Source organism: Homo sapiens, chromosome 5 (genome assembly GCF_000001405.40).
Source record: "Homo sapiens chromosome 5, GRCh38.p14 Primary Assembly".
Taxonomy (NCBI): domain Eukaryota; kingdom Metazoa; phylum Chordata; class Mammalia; order Primates; family Hominidae; genus Homo; species Homo sapiens.
This window is the reverse complement of record NC_000005.10, coordinates 152,702,547-152,718,759: the sequence shown is the minus strand read 5'-3', so window position 1 is coordinate 152,718,759 and position 16,213 is coordinate 152,702,547. Positions and strand designations below refer to the sequence as shown.

The following is a 16,213-nucleotide window of genomic DNA, read 5'->3' as shown; positions in this document are numbered from 1 at the left end:
AATTAGTCACTCATGCTTTTTATTTGCCTTTTGTAAAAAGTCTTTTAAAAGGGGCAATAAAAATATAAAAATCTTTTTATAAGTTTCTACACATCAATAGGCATCCCTGGGTGAGCCTACTTTGGGAGCTGTCATTTTTAAGTGCATTTCTTAAAGTGTAGTGTTGTTCATTTGGAATGTTCCACCATAATTTAAAATTGCGTTTAGTAAGATTTTGCCATTTTAGTAAGCATTTGCTGCCTCTGGGGCCTAATACCTACATATATGTAAAGGTAGGTGTAGCATGAAGGTAGAGTAAGTTCTTCAGAAATTAACAGTCCCATTTTTATACTCTATCTTGGCTTTGCCTCTGTGATCTTTGTGATCAACTTAGCCAATGAGATTTCCCTATCTAAGCATGCAAGGAAAAGAAACAAAAAGAATAGAACACAAAATCCCTATGAATTTCTGGAAGCCAGAGTTTGCACTCCTTGCAGTATTGCCATTTGATGCCAGTTTATGTGTGACCCACTTATATATTTGAGGCTTATAACAAGATCCAATCCAGTTAATTTCTGGATCCAATCCAAAGCTAGAATCAGTCCAATTTCTGTCCCAAGTTTTAGCCCAGTGTGGATAAAAAATTTCCTTGAACAAACTCAGATAGCTCAAAATACAAATCTCTGAAGTTTTCAAATTTGACAAAAAACTTACCTTCCCCAGTTGCTGTGAGACAGCAACGGACACAGTGGGCTCATCAGGTACCTTGCTTGGCCACATGATGCTCCTGGGGGTCACCAGAAGCTCTACTTCAGATCCCACTTGTAAAACTTTAGACAAATTTAACAGAATTTAACCGAGCAAAGAATGATTCACAAATCAGGCAACCCCTCGGACCTAGAGTGGGTTCAGAGGAGAACCAGGGCTATCTTGTGGTTGAATAAAATTTATGGACAAAAAAAAGAAAGTGACATACAGTAAACATGTTGCAGGACTTTTCCTTAGTTTAGCTAAAGATGGGATTGTCTCATGGCCACAGAAATTTAGGCTCACAGACAATTTGAATGGTAAGACAGGGTTTTATTGGGTGAAAAGGAAGAAAAGGAGGAAACAGGGACTCTTGCTAAGCCACAGTCCCTACTAGAGTGCTTCCTGCCTGGCCGTTCGAATCCCAGGTTCCACAGGAAGAGGAGGGGCCAGGCTCCTCTCTGTTGCAAATGTCATGAACTTCCCAAGGCTCCACCTCAGTGGGCAGGCTGGTTGGAGTGTCTCCAGGGAACCCCTCCCACCTGGCTGTCTCAAATCAAGTGAGGTACAGAAACAGCTAGATTGGTTACAAATGGACATTGCCCTTATTTCAACCTGGCTTGAACAGCTGGCTGACTATGATTGACTGACATTTGGCTACTGTGATTGGCTAAGACTCTGCTACTTGTTAGACATGTAGGTTATAATCTCTTTACACATCAAGTTGGCTTGCAGTTTATCATGTATGGAGAAATCTTTAGGCTGAACTTAAAATATATAAAAAGTCAGCTTTAGGCCAAACTTAATTTAAACCTAGAAAATTGCCTTATACAGACAAAACCTTAAGATCATTTCAAATATCATACGTTCATCTTGACCCATTTATATCATTTCAGCACAATTTTCTTTAGTAAATGTATTTTCATATATTACAAACATTTCACTCAAAACTGTTCTACAACTAAAAGAAAGATAGTGTTCCACATAGAGAAGAAAGCATTTAGAAGTTGTTTCTTAAAAGGGTGGTGAGAAAACTACAAGTAAAAAAATTTTATTTCCTATGTTTTTATTTTATTGTCATTATTATATTTTTTGAGACAGGGTCTCATTCTGTTGCTCAGGCTGCAGTGCAGTGGTGCAATCTTGGATCACTGAAGGCTTAACCTCTCGAGTAGCTGGGATTACAGGTGTGCCACCACTCCCAACTAAATTTTGTATGTTTTGTAGAGGTGGGGTTTTACCATGTTGCCCAGACTATTTTGGCTTTTTGAAAAGATTTATTCTGGTACTCCCTTCCTTTCTGTCTCTGAGTTTGATTCTATACCAAGTCCTATCATTTTTCCTCCTGAATATTGTGACTTTAACTTTATTCCAATTGTCAATCGTACCATATCTATATCGTTTGATTGGTATACCCTTTCCACTCTTGGCTGTCTTCAATCTGTCAAGGTACCATTATTTACCTTTCAGATGAACAAAGATCTGAAGGTTTGACAACATACTTGATTGATGTAGCTATGTGAAAAAAAGTTGTTCTTACATACTGTTAGTAGGAATACTGTTAGTAGGAATTCAAACTGTTACAAACCCTAGGGAGGGTATATGGGCCATATGTATAAACCTTTCTTTTTTAAAAAATTATAATTTAATAAAGACAGAGTCTTGCTATGTTGTCCAGGCTGGTCTCAAATGCCTGGGCTCAGGCATTCCTCCCACCTTGGCCTCCCAAAATGCTGGGATGTGAGCCACTGTGTCCAGCCCAAAATTTCTCATACTTGTATATTTTTACCCAGCATCCACCGGTAGGAATCTGGCAAAAAATATGAAAACATATGTGTAACACAGTATGAAATGAATAACTTTGCAATGGAAAGACAGGAAACCACCTACGTGTCTATCAAGTGGAGAACGGTAAAATAAACTATAATACATTTACCCTTTGGGGTGCTGTAAGATAAAATGTGTATATGTGCCACATTTTCTTAATCCAGTCTATCATTCTTGGACATTTGGGTTGGTTCCAAGTCTTTGCTATTGTGAATAATGCCGCAGTAAACATACGTGTGCATGTGTCTTTATAGCAGCATGATTTATAGTCCTTTGGGTATATACCCAGTAATGGGATGGCTGGGTCAAATGGTATTTCCAGTTCTAGATCCCTGAGGAATCGCCACACTGACTTCCACAATGGTTGAACTAGTTTACAGTCCCACCAACAGTGTAAAAGTGTTCCTATTTCTCCACATCCTCTCCAGCACCTGTTGTTTCCTGACTTTTTAATGATCACCATTCTAACTGGTGTGAGATGGTATCTCATTGTGGTTTTGATTTGCATTTCTCTGATGGCCAGTGATGATGAGCATTTTTTCGTGTGTTTTTTGGCTGCATAAATGTCTTCTTTTGAGAAGTGTCTGTTCATGTCCTTCACCCACTTTTTGATGGGGTTGTTTGTTTTTTTCTTGTAAATTTGTTTGAGTTCATTGTAGATTCTGGATATTAGCCCTTTGTCAGATGAGTAGGTTGTGAAAATTTTCTCCCATTTTGTAGGTTGCCTGTTCACTCTGATGGTAGTTTCTTTTGCTGTGCAGAAGCTCTTTAGTTTAATTAGATCCCCGTGGCACATATACACCATGGAATACTATGCAGCCATAAAAAATGATGAGTTCATGTCCTTTGTAGGGACATGGATGAAATTGGAAATCATCATTCTCAGTAAACTATCGCAAGAACAAAAAACCAAACACCGCATATTCTCACTCATAGGTGGGAATTGAACAATGAGATCACATGAACACAGGAAGGGGAATATCACACTCTGGGGACTGTTGTGGGGTGGGAGGAGGGGGGAGGGATAGCATCGGGAGATATACCTAATGCTAGATGATGAGTTAGTGGGTGCAGCGCACCAGCATGGTACATGTATACATATGTAACTAACCTGCACAATGTGCACATGTACCCTAAAACTTAAAGTAAAGTATAATAAAAAAAAAGATAAAATGTGGTGTATTTCTTTAAACTACTATAACATGATTTCCGGGATACATGAGGTGTAAAAGACAAGGTGAAGAAAAGTACATAAAGTATGCTACCATTTATCCGTGAAAAGGGGGACATTGAAACATAAATGAGTATTGGCTTACATATTTTATTAAAAAATTATCATCAAATAGAAATCATTATATGGGTTGGGGTGTTTTGTATACACATACTTACATAACAGTGAAACAGAAGTAAATAAAAAGCAATACTAAAATCTAAAGCAAGATGAAACTGTATATCAAATTAGAGACACAATAATGGAGTTAAACAAGTGACAAAAAACAATGTGATTTGACCATATATCCCTAGGAGTATATGCCCTATGGACAACCTAGGCTGCAACAGGACTTAAAATGGTTTTAAGCAATTATAATTTTGGGGGTCACTTTGGGACTTTTCTCTGGTCCATTAGGTGATTACAGCAAAAAGTGATTAGTTCGGTGCCATGAAAATCGGTGTTCTCAATGTGGGAGAAAGGAGATACACATGGAAGACTGAAAGGTTAGATAAAAACCCTGTGATCTCAAATATGAATTGAAAGCATAAACACAAATATTACATCTTTAAAATAAAGCTTTATCCATGAGAAGTCCTAAAAACAATGATCCCCCAGCACTATTATTACCTGTATTGTAATCTCCAAACTATTTCCCATAAAGGAACCAAAGTTTCTTAGGTAAACAGCCAAATTAATATCTGGCATAGTTAATGGACATGATGAACTCAAAATATTTTGTCATACCTGAAAGCAAGGAAGTGACCCCAGATTATTACCTGAAGTACTTTCTATTGCCTAAAAGTGAAAAAATTTGAGTATTAACTATTAATTGAATCGAAATGCAAACATGTTTAAATCTATGTGTTTAAAATGATACTTCAAAAGCCCTCATTGATAATTATTCTGACAACTTGTAAATTAAAGGAAAGAATCAACCATATATCTTCCTTCCATTTACAAACTATATGTCAGGGACCAAATAGTTAATAAGGGGAAAGTTTTTCTTTACAGGAGTATTTCAGCTAATAAATGAATGCAGAATGATTGTGTATCCTGAGGAAATAATGGTCTAAGCCATGATCTTCAATGGCTGTGAACCACAAGGAAAGACAACGCCTTGAATTACAGGGAACCACCATGAGGTTATTCTTGCCAAATGGTCAATGCAGAATCTGATCAAGCCCCTAATCCACCAATTATTTACAGAAAAATACAGGAGAGAGAGGAATGTATTAAATAACACCACGGGTAGTCGATCCGCATTTCAGGTCATGGGAAATTCTATAGGACAAAATGTTACTTCTCCAACAAATCAATTTAAAAAAACCCCAAAAATGTAGAAGGAACCCATAGAGAGAATGAGACTTAGGGTATATATCAACCAATTACAGTGCATGGACCTTATTTAATTTTTAAATTATAAAAAATTATCCATCTATACACACATATATACATATATTTGTTGATACATATTAGTTGGGAAAGTCTGAACACTGACTAGATTTAATAATAATATTGTTTATATTCTAAGTATGAAAATGGTTTTGTGGTTAAATTTTTTAAAGGAGACTTTATATTTGAGAATGAAAACTGACATATTTATAGAAGAAAAAAAATATATGTCTTGGATTTGCTTCAAAATAAGCCAGGTTGAGGACAAGTGCAAGAGAAGTTATACATAAAATAAGATTGACTGTAAGTTAATAATTGTTGAAGCTGAATGATAGATAAATAGAAGTGATTATTTCTTCCATTAAAAAAATCTTTCATTTAAAAAAGAGAGAGAGAGAGAAAAGAAAGCCCTGAATAGATTTGTCCTACTATCTTGCATCAACCCCCTCTCTGTCTCTTTGTGGGTGAACCACCCTATCCACCTTTACCTTATGAGCATCTTTCCTGCCTAGGGCTTTTCTGTGCTGTGCTGTCTATGTGGAGCACTCTTCTGCACCAATGTGTGCCACCTTAATGCCTGCTCCATCCTTCAGACTTTGGTTCTGCTTTTGCTTCTTCAAGGACATCTCTGACTTCTCTGATTTGGTCAGATCTCTCTGCTTTAGGCCCCTGTGTTATCATCTACCTCTGCTTTCTAACACTCACACACTTAGAATTTTGTGAAAATTTGTATTTCTGTTAGCCCCACTATGTTCTAAGGTACCTAAAGGCAAAAGCCATGCTCATTTTATTTAACATAACAGCCTGATACATCGCTCAGTACACAGTACTCTGTTTGCTGAATGTTATACCACATCTGTTAAAAATCAGGTAATAAGAAGCAAGAGGTGTACCCACTAGGGATAAAAACTGTTCAAGTTTCAATAAATATAGAAGAGAAAGTGATTTTTCTGGGTGGAAAAAGCTGGAGTAAGTTTTTCTGATTTTATTTCTTATGATATAAAAATGAAAATAAATTAATAAAAAGCTAACTACTGTTATTAGATATAAGTCTATTTCCAGTCCTAAGGATAGTAGGTATGATTGCAAGTGGAGAAGCAAAAGTGAGATGTAGTCTTCCGTGTCAATCTCAGGTTTAGGTTTTAATATATAGAAGAGAGTTTTTACGGCAACATGACTATGTACTTCTACAAAATTACCAATAATGATTCCAGAGATGGCTAGAATGTCCTACAGGGTAAAGTGACCTTTAAATAGAAAGGGCTGGTTGCATTCTAAGTTGCTTTGTGGATCTGAGAGATGACATACACTGAGAGACCAGTAAGCTCAGAATTGTGCATTTCAGTGGTTATTTCTGGTCTCTTTCCTGGAAAGCTCTACAATGTGCCATTATTATCTGGAACATAAGGAATGTGGCCTTCTCAAAACTTAAGAATTCACAGCACGGAATGTTGTTAATTACAGAAATATTGGATACATGCAGCTTCCTAGCTTCTTAAGTATTTTATGTTTTCTGTTGCAAAACACAATCCAGTTACTTGCTGAGATGCAATTCCTCATTCACACAGAAAACCAAATTGTCAGCAGTAGCTAGTTGGGATCAGTAAATCTTCTCAGGTTAGTACCTAGAAAGAAAGCAGGCTGTAAAAAGTTAATTGAGACAGACGTGTTTGAATAGGGAGCAGGGGAATGGCAGGCATTTTTATTCTTCTGCTTTAAGTTGGAACCATGTGGCAACTCTGCTGTAAAAATGATAATGTAAAGCCAGTTGTAGAATCTTAGAAATTCTTAAGCATAAAAACAAATCTGATTTATTTCAAAAATGGGTCATTCAGATAGGAGTTTTACTAGAAACAAGATGGGAAATTTAGGGCATTCAGTTGGAAGAAAATAAAAGTTAACCTCATGATAATGTGGAAGAAAATCTTAATAGTTTAGAAAGAATATGTTCTAAGAAGCATTTGGTGGGTCAAAAAACTACTAAGATTTAATGTCAGTGTTCTAGACCATTTCTCTTCCCCCTCCCACTCCCCCTTTTTTAACAACTCCAAAAGTTTCCCCAAATGGTTTATCTTCTAATGATTATAGTTTATTACAGTGGTTCTCAAACTTGAGTATAGGCAAGATTTATCTAGGGAACATCTTAGAAATGCAGATTCCTCTACCTTCTCCCTAGTAAATCTGATTTAGGAGGTCTGGATCAGGTCCTAGAGTCTGCCGTTTTGCTCAGTGCCATGGTGGTTTTAACAAATGTGTTACCTGGACTACAATTTGAAAAACACAGATGAAATGAAACCGACTGGGATATATGGCTAGAAACTCTTGAGCTGCACTAGCAATAAAATTACTATATCATAAAGCTAAGTAATGTCAGGTGCAAACTTATTAACTATTTGTTGAGTGATTAAGGGCTCTCAAAAGGAGTTTTAATACATAAACTTGCGTTATTTAAACTAGATTACAGTCCTATGAGTGCCATTAGATTCTGGCTGTGGGCTACCATCTCAAGAAAATAGGGTGAGTACTAGTGCCCCACACACTGCTATAGAGTTCAGTATTGGGTAGGTCAGTGTTTTAGAACAATATAATGCTCTGGTTAAGTGCATAGGCTTCAGACTCAGGTTTTTACATTCTTTGTTATAATGCTGTGGACTCTCTATACCTTTGAGAAATTCATTTAGCCTCAGTTTCCTCATCCTTAAAATAGAAGAGCCAGTGTCGCCTTTATAGGAATGCATAATGCTTAGATGAGAAAATGTTTATAACGTGGTAAGTGCAGTTCCTGGAATATTGTAAGCACTTAGTTTTTAAAAAGACACGTGTTTGGCCTTCATAAAGATAGACTATATTGTCAAGAGGAAGGCAATGACCCCTGGGAAACGGTTCTTATAATAGCCCAGTAAAACAGAGCTGAAGATTTGAAGTCTGGGTTTTTATGCACTTAAGACATATGGCCTTGAAAATCATGAGAAACAGTGATTGTCTCACCTAGTGACCATGGCTACACATACATAAGTGTTTTAAATGATTATTTTTAATAATTTGAGTAAAGTTAAAAAGTAGCAAAGACTACAAGAAGTGAAAGAAACCATACATATTACTGAGGCTTACCTATGTTGCATTTCAATATAACTATATCATTGCTGGACATGGAGAAGGTTTATTTTATTTATTATTATTTTTTTAACTTAGGCCCATACTTGCTCTCTAGTTCCTGGAATAAGACCCAAACAAAAAATATATTTTTTTGCCATGATCTTCAGGAAACTTTCTGGATTCTCTATTCATCAGAGAAGAACCACTCCGCTAAATTTTAACAATGGTTAAAATTTTATAGTTGGTAACATTTAACCATATGGGAGAGCACATTTGAAAACATTTTCCTACTACATAGTAACTATACAAAATATGTTGGTGATTATAATTACTATTTTATATTGCTATTTTACTTGTTAGATATTAAATGTGCTTCCTTAAAAACACTAAAAATTCCCCTAATAATCCTAGAACTGACAAATATCGATCTACCATTCTTTTTTGTTGTTGTTGTTGTTGTTGTTGTTGTTGTTTTGTTTTTGGAAATGTAGCCTCGCTCTGTTGCCAGGCTGGTGTGCAGTGGCATGATCTCGGCTCACCGCAACCTTCGCCTCCCAGGTTCAAGCAATTCTCCTGCCTCAGCCTCCCGAATAGCTGGGATTACAGGTGCTTGCCACCACGCCTGGCTAATTTTTGTATTTTTATTAGAGACAGGGTTTCACCATGTTAGCCAAGATGGTCTCAATCTCTTGACCTCGTGATCCACCCGCCTTGGCCTCCCAAAGTGCTGGGATTACAGGTGTGAGCCACCGCGCCTGGCCCCAATCTACCATTCTTTGTTGAATGAACATTGATTGTCAATCCAAATGGTGCTGTATTTCACTTCACCTTATTTCAGCACATTAAAGATGTCACTCCCTTGTCTTCCGATTTGCATAGTTTCTCATGAGAAGTATATTCTGCTTCTTATTTTTGCTGTTCTTTATAGAAGTTCTCTTTTTTTCTGTCTGCCTTCAAAATTTTCTCTTTAGCTTATAGCAATTTGAATATGATGTGTCCAGGCATGTATGTATGTTTGTTTCAGTATTTATTCTGTTTGGTGTTCTCTGAGCTCTTCAATCGGTAGTTTGATGTTGTTAAATATTTTTGAAAAGTATTGTCTCCATGTCACTCTTAACTATAGATTATGTTGTGCCAATAACACCATTTGATAACACAACTTTCATGTACTTTCACATCTGCGTCAGCACAATATTGATGAAAAGAGCAGTGCACTGATAGTCTTCCTGCTTGGGTTATAAGGCTGATTATAAAAAAACCTGTGAATTTTTTATCAAACTACTGTGCTCTCCTAGCCCTCAGTGACTTCACTGATGTGAGAGATTATATGAGGTGATTTTTTAGGCTCTTCTAATTCAGGAAGTAGTCTAAAAATTAGGAAGCAAATTGCATAAACTAATTGATACTAAGTCATGAATGGCCATTTCTGGACTTTAATAGTCATTTTCATTTTCAAAGAGGAAGTACCCCAAGGACCAAATGACTCACTAATTGAGGCAATTAAAGCTATACAATCAGGGGAAGAAAAGCCTTCAAGCAACCAGAAATTATACTATCACTTATTTCATCCATAGTACCAGTCCTGCCTTGTTTTCTCTTTTCCCAACCTTTCATTTGTTCATTCTGTTTATTGTTCAACTAAAGATTCTCCCAGACATATGCTAAAATCCAGAGAATATGTAAGATCATTTTTAAATGTAAGAATTCAAAATGCCAAAACTAAAAATAAATCTAGTGAAGAAGCAGGCAGAAGACCTTGCTGTGAGTCCATATGAAGAGGTATATTTGTGTAAACTTAACTCTCTATCCAACACACTATTACATGTTTCCTAGCACCTATTTTTATTCCAAGGCCCAAATCACAGTCGAAACAGTCAGTTTTGTACTTCTCCATAACACACAGTCAATGTAGTAGAGCCTACTGCAGTGTTTTTCAGCATAATCAGGAGCAAGCTGGAGAACTTAGAGCAGATGAAGAGGCATGAATAACCCTGTTCTCACTAAGGAAGAAGTGCTTTCATTTTGTGGCATACCTCACTCACTGGTCTTATGCAAACAGTTTGCTAGGGTAAATTTACCTGAGCCAACTGTGTCTTGATCAAGCCCCAATTTTAATGGAATCACTTCTACAATAAATCAACAAGAAATGACACATATTGTTTAAGAGTTGGGCATTAGATAAACCTGGATTTGAAATGTCTCTGTCCTTCACTACCTGTGTGTGTCCTTGAGAAGCTTATTTACTTAAGGGTAAGCTCCCTTTTCTGTAAAAAGATGGGGGCAGGGATGATTAATAATAATACCACCTCATACGCTGGTGGGGAGGGTCAAGTGGGATATTACATTTAAAGAAGTCTCTACTTAACAACAATAATGTGGTATTTTAAAGCTAGTTCTGATGCTTTCTGTAGTGGCCCAATGTTTTTCCTCTTTCTATAATAATTTATTTAAAAATCATAAAAGTCCTAAAGCTTGATAGGCTGTCTAATCTAAGTCTTAATCTTATCTTTAAGCTTTTACTTAAGAAGGACCAAATGTTATATATCTAACATCACATATTTAATCAAAATTCCTAGACTAAGGACCTCCTCAAGAACTACAAACCACTGCTCAAAGAAATAAGAGATGACACAAACAAATGGAAAAACATTCCATGCTCATGGATAAGAAGAATCAATATCATAAAAATGGCCATACTGCCCAAAGTAATTTATAGATTCAATGCTATTCCCATCAAACTACCATTGACATTCTTCACAGAGTTAGAAAAAAACTACTTTAAATTTCACATGGGACCAAAAAGAGCCCATATAGCCAAGATAATCCTAAGCAAAAAGAACAAAGCTGGAGGCATCAAACTACCTGACTTCAAACTTTACTACAAGACTACAGTGGCCAAAACAGCTACTGGTACCAAACTACTGGTAGCAAAACAGACATATAGGCCAATGGAACAGAACAGAGGCCTCAAAAATAACACAACACATCTACAACCATCTGATCTTCAAAAAACCTGGAAAAACAAAAATACATGCAATGGGGAAAGGATTCCATATTTAATAAATGGTGCTGGGAAAACTGGCTAGCCATATGCAGAAAACTGAAACTGGACCCCTTCCTTACCCTTACACCTTATACAAAAATTAACTCAAGATAGATTAAAGACTTGAATGTAAAACCCAAAACCATAAAAGCCCTGCAAGAAAATCCAGGTGCAGTACCACTCAGGACATAGGGATGGGCAAAGACTTCATGATGAAAATGCCAAAAGCAATTGCAACAAAAGCCAAAATTGATAAATGGGATCTAATTAAAGAGCTTCTGCACAGCAAAAGAAACTATCATCGGAGTGAAAAGCCAACCCACAGAATGGGTGCAATCTATCCATCTGACAAAGGTCTAATATCCAGAATCTATGAGGAACTTAAACAAATTTACAAGAATCAAGCAACCCCATCAAAAAGTGGGAAAATCTATGAGGAACTTAAACAAATTTACAAGAATCAAGCAACCCCATCAAAAAAGTGGTCAAAGACACTTCTCAAAAGAAGACATTTATGCGGCCAACAAACATACAAAAAAAAAAAAAAAGCTCAACATCACTGATCATTAGAGAAATGCAAATCAAAACCACAGTGAGATGCTATCTCACAGCAGTTAAAATGATGATTATTAAAAAGTCAAGAAACAATAGATGCTAATGAGGCTGTGGAGAAACAAACACTTTTACACTGTTGGTAGGAATGTAAATTAGTTCAAACACTGTGGAAGACAGTGTGGTGATTCCTCAAGGATCTCTAACTAGAAATACCATTTGACCCAGCAATCACATTACTGGATATAAACCCAAAGGAATATAAATCATTCTACTGTAAAGATACATGAACATGTATGTTTATTGCAGCACTAATTACAGTGGCCAAGACATGGAACCAACCCAAATGCCCATCACTGATTGATAGACTAAATAAAGAAAATATGGTATATATACACCATGGAATACTATGCAGCCATAAAGAAGAATGAGATCATGTCCTTTGCAGGCACATGGATGAAGCTGGAAGCCATAATCCTCAGCAAACTAACACAGGAACAAAAACCAAACACTGCATGTTCTCACTCATAAATGGGAGTTGAACGATGAGAACACATGGACACAGGGAGGGGAACAACACACACAGGGGCCAGTCAGGGAGTGGGGAATGAGATGAGGGAGAGCATTAGGACAAATAGCTAATGCATGTGGGGCTTAAAACCTAGATGATGGGTTGATAAGTGCAGCAAGCCACCATAATACTGTATACCTATGTAACAAACCTACACATTCTGCACTTGTATCCCAGAACTTAAAAAAATAAAAATTTCCTAGACTGTAATTCACTTTACCTAATTCCCAGACCAATGGCCATTCTTCCTTTTTACCCTGGTAGTAATCAAAAAGTTGCACTAAAAATTATGGTTTTGTGTAATGAGTATATGTAGAAGTTAAATTTATAAGTCCAGGAAATAGCAGAGTTCAAATACCAGCTCACCCACTCCCCAACAATGTGACTATATGGAAGTAATTTTACCCCTCAGTCCCTCAGTGTCTTTACTTATTAAATAATAAATAAAAGACCAATAAAGCAAGATCTCTGGTCAAGACATTTAGAAGCTCTAGAGTGAGGGAGAGGGGAAATCTGATGGAGGATGTCCTGACAGCTATGGCATTGACTGTGTTTGTGACAGGCAGAAGAAACTCATTTTGAAAGCAAAGGCAATAGATCCAGACTGTAAGGGTTGCAATGCTATTATCCCTACTATTTGCTGCCTGTGTAACCTTGGATGAGATGCTCAAACTTTCTGTGCCTCATCTTTGAAATGGGAATCATAGGAGTATCTAGTCCATAGAATTGGCATGAAGATTAAATAAATCAAAGCACTTAGAAATGAGACTGGCACTTTGCTATAAACAACAGCTTTTGTTAGTTGAATTTTATTTATTCATATGCCATTCATTTGTTTAAAAGTTTTAAGGTAGTTTTCGAAATGACATGCGATGCCTCTGACTTAGACCTCTTTTCAAAATCGTGAAATTCTGTAGCCCATCACCCACTAAACATTCTCATTTGCATGTCTTGCATTGTAGTTTAGATGCCCCAAATTGAACTTGCCTTATTTGTAAGGCCTCATTTTCTTCTGTAGATTTCTTTACCTAAGTTAATAGTAACCCCACACATCCAGGTGCCAAGACCAGCTCAGTCAGGGAGACCCTAACCCAGCGGCACTAGAGGAATTAAAGACACACACAGAGAAATATAGAGGTGTGAAGTGGGAAATCAGGGGTCTCACAGCCTTCAGAGCTGAGAGCCCTGAACACAGATTTACCCACATATTTATTAACAGCAAACGAGTCATTAGCATTCTTCTATAGATATTAAATTAACTAAATGTATCCCTTATGGGAAACCAAGGGATGGGCCAAATTAAAGGAATAGGTTGGGCTAGTTAACTGCAGCAGGAGCATGTCCTTAAGGCACAGATCACTCATGCTATTGTTTGTGGCTTAAGAATACCTTTAAGCGGTTTTCTGCCCTGGGCAGGCCAGGTATTCCTTGCCCTCATTCCTGTAAACCCACAACCTTCCAGCGTGGGCGTTAGGGCCATTATGAACATGTTACAGTGCTGCAGAGATTTCGTTTATGGCCAGTTTTGGGGGGGCCTGCTCCCAACATCCAGGTATCCAAACTAGTTCATGTGAATCCTTCTAGACTTTTCTCCTTACCTTCACTGTTAATATCTAAATAGTCACTGCGTTCTTCTACTTTTTCCCTTGTATGTATCACATTCACATACCCATATTTCAAAGAGTGAGTCCTATGAGGGCAGGGATCATAGCTTTCTCAAGTGTACTCATCCGCTGTCATGTAACAGTGAATCAGCCTGCTGTTAGCCATCCTGCCAGGGCCTAAGAGATTAAAGCCAGAACCTGAAACAAACTGAAGGTCTTCTGACCCCTTGAACTGAGAATTTTACCCCAGTCAGCATTTTCTTATCCAAACCAAAGCATGTCCTTGGCCACAAGGGAGAGAGTTGGCAGGAGGTCCCTTGAAAAGAACATGTTCTCATCACTGCAGCAACAGATCCTCTCCACTGCTGTACTTAAAGTTCAAGAGAGAGTCTACATGCTCATGGTGGCAATTTGTATCTACAGGAACCCTGAATTACCTTGATTTTTACCTCCTTGATACTTCTTAAATCCAATCATTTCTCTCCATTCTCATGGCCTCTGATCTAATCCAAGGTAGCATTATTTCTCATCAAATTATTGCCACAACCTCCTCCTCGTACCCCAATATCCTCTCTGGAGATCCCAAAAGCTCTTCATGCTTTTTGTTTTAAAATAGGAATTTACCTATGCTCCATCTTCACCTAAAACCCTTCAGGGGGTTAAAATAAAATCCAATCCTTTGCAATACTGACATAGCCCTGCATCTGGATTCTTGGCCTTATCTCTGCCTCTTTCCATATTTCTCCTTATTCTCCAGCCACAGAGGACTTTTTGCCTCCTTTCCAATCATGTTGCATCTTCATGAATGCTGTCACTTCCTTCTGGGAAGCTTTTGCCCAAATCCCATTAGTTTAAACCTTAATCTTCAAACTTCATTTTGCACCCATACCATTTCTTCACAAAGGTCTTCCTTGACAACTTCCTGGCGTCTTCCAATACTCCCTACTCAGTGATTCTCAGCTTGTGTGTGCAAAAGAATGACCTAAGGAGTTCTTTCTGTTTGTTTAAAAAATAGTTTCCTAAGTCCCATCCCCAGAGTGTCTATGGGTAGATCCAGTCATTGTGCATTTTTACCAACAAATATCCTTTGGGGTTTCTGACCAGGTAGCTCTCAGACTGCACTTTGAGAAGCTCTGAGTGATGTTAACTTACCTTGCTACATGGTGTCAGAATACCCTTCTTAATGTCTCCATGGAAATGCACATTGCTCTTTAAATTACTTTTTAAAAGTCTGTAGTACCTGCTCAGTGCTTTATTACTAGGGTAGCATTGCAGTTATAATCTTTATGCCCATAGCATAATAGGTATTTAATATTTGTTAAATTGATCATTATTTTGTGGAATACTTAATAATTTATAAAGAACAATACAGATGCTCCTCAACTTATGATGGGGCTACATCCTGATAAACCCATCATAAGTGGAAAATATCATAAGTCAAAAATGCATTTAATATTCCAACGAATCCCTAAAGTCAAAAAATCGTAAGACAAAACATCTTAAGTTGGAGACCATCTGTACATGTAAGCCAAGCAAACCGAGCCTTGAGAATAGAGTGTATCCCACTGCATCTAGGTACTATGTTTGAAATCTTGGGAAGCTCTTGACTTTTGAAAAATGGCTACTCAGCTTGCTAAACCTCGTTTATTTCATCTGCCTCTACGTAGGTTCCTCCTTCTCCTCTGCATGCCCTGGTGACACTTAAGGTTTAATTGAATAGTGAGGTTCCTGCCACCTTCCAGGGCTCTGATGAACTGTCAAAACAGAAAACTCCAGGGACAAAATGCTGCCACCAACAAAAAAACAAGAGGCTCATGGTGATCCGAGCACTTCACAGCAGTGCTGTGCTTTAAGGGGTCAGCCTTTATGGGTGAAGGATGGTTGATGTTTTAAAAAAAAAAAAAAAAAAAAAAAAAAAAACCTGAATCAGCATTCTGAAGGCTTCCTTTCCAAGGAAGCATTTAGCTAGGAAAGTACTGAGAAAGATACACTAAGTCTCAAATATGCTTCAGGTTACCAAGAGACAGCATTTCTCCCAGGTCATGCTGTCACCATGATAGGGTGGAAAGTGTAAAAGGCTCAGAAGATCTGAGTTAAAATCCCGAATGAACTAAGGTATACGGCAGTAGTTAGTGAGTGGACAGTTAGAACCACTGAAAAATGAAGTTTCCTGAGTCCACCTCCATAGA

At 37.4% G+C, this 16,213-nt stretch overlaps 1 long non-coding RNA gene across 1 annotated transcript in view, besides 1 other annotated feature; it reads left to right on the top strand.

Annotated features, from left to right (window-relative positions):
- The window catches only part of LINC01470 (long intergenic non-protein coding RNA 1470), a 353,385-nt gene that overhangs the window by 253,590 nt on the left and 83,582 nt on the right, over positions 1–16,213 (top strand). The gene's annotated exons all lie outside the window — the stretch shown is intronic.
- Positions 8,818–8,987: an enhancer, noted in NCBI's record as "experimental_83142 CRE fragment used in MPRA reporter constructs". NCBI's record gives its function as "activates a minimal promoter by MPRAs in K562 erythroleukemia cells, with activity observed for the non-introgressed 5:152089418 variant allele {active_cell/tissue: K562}" and the evidence as "EXISTENCE:reporter gene assay evidence [ECO:0000049][PMID:34662402]".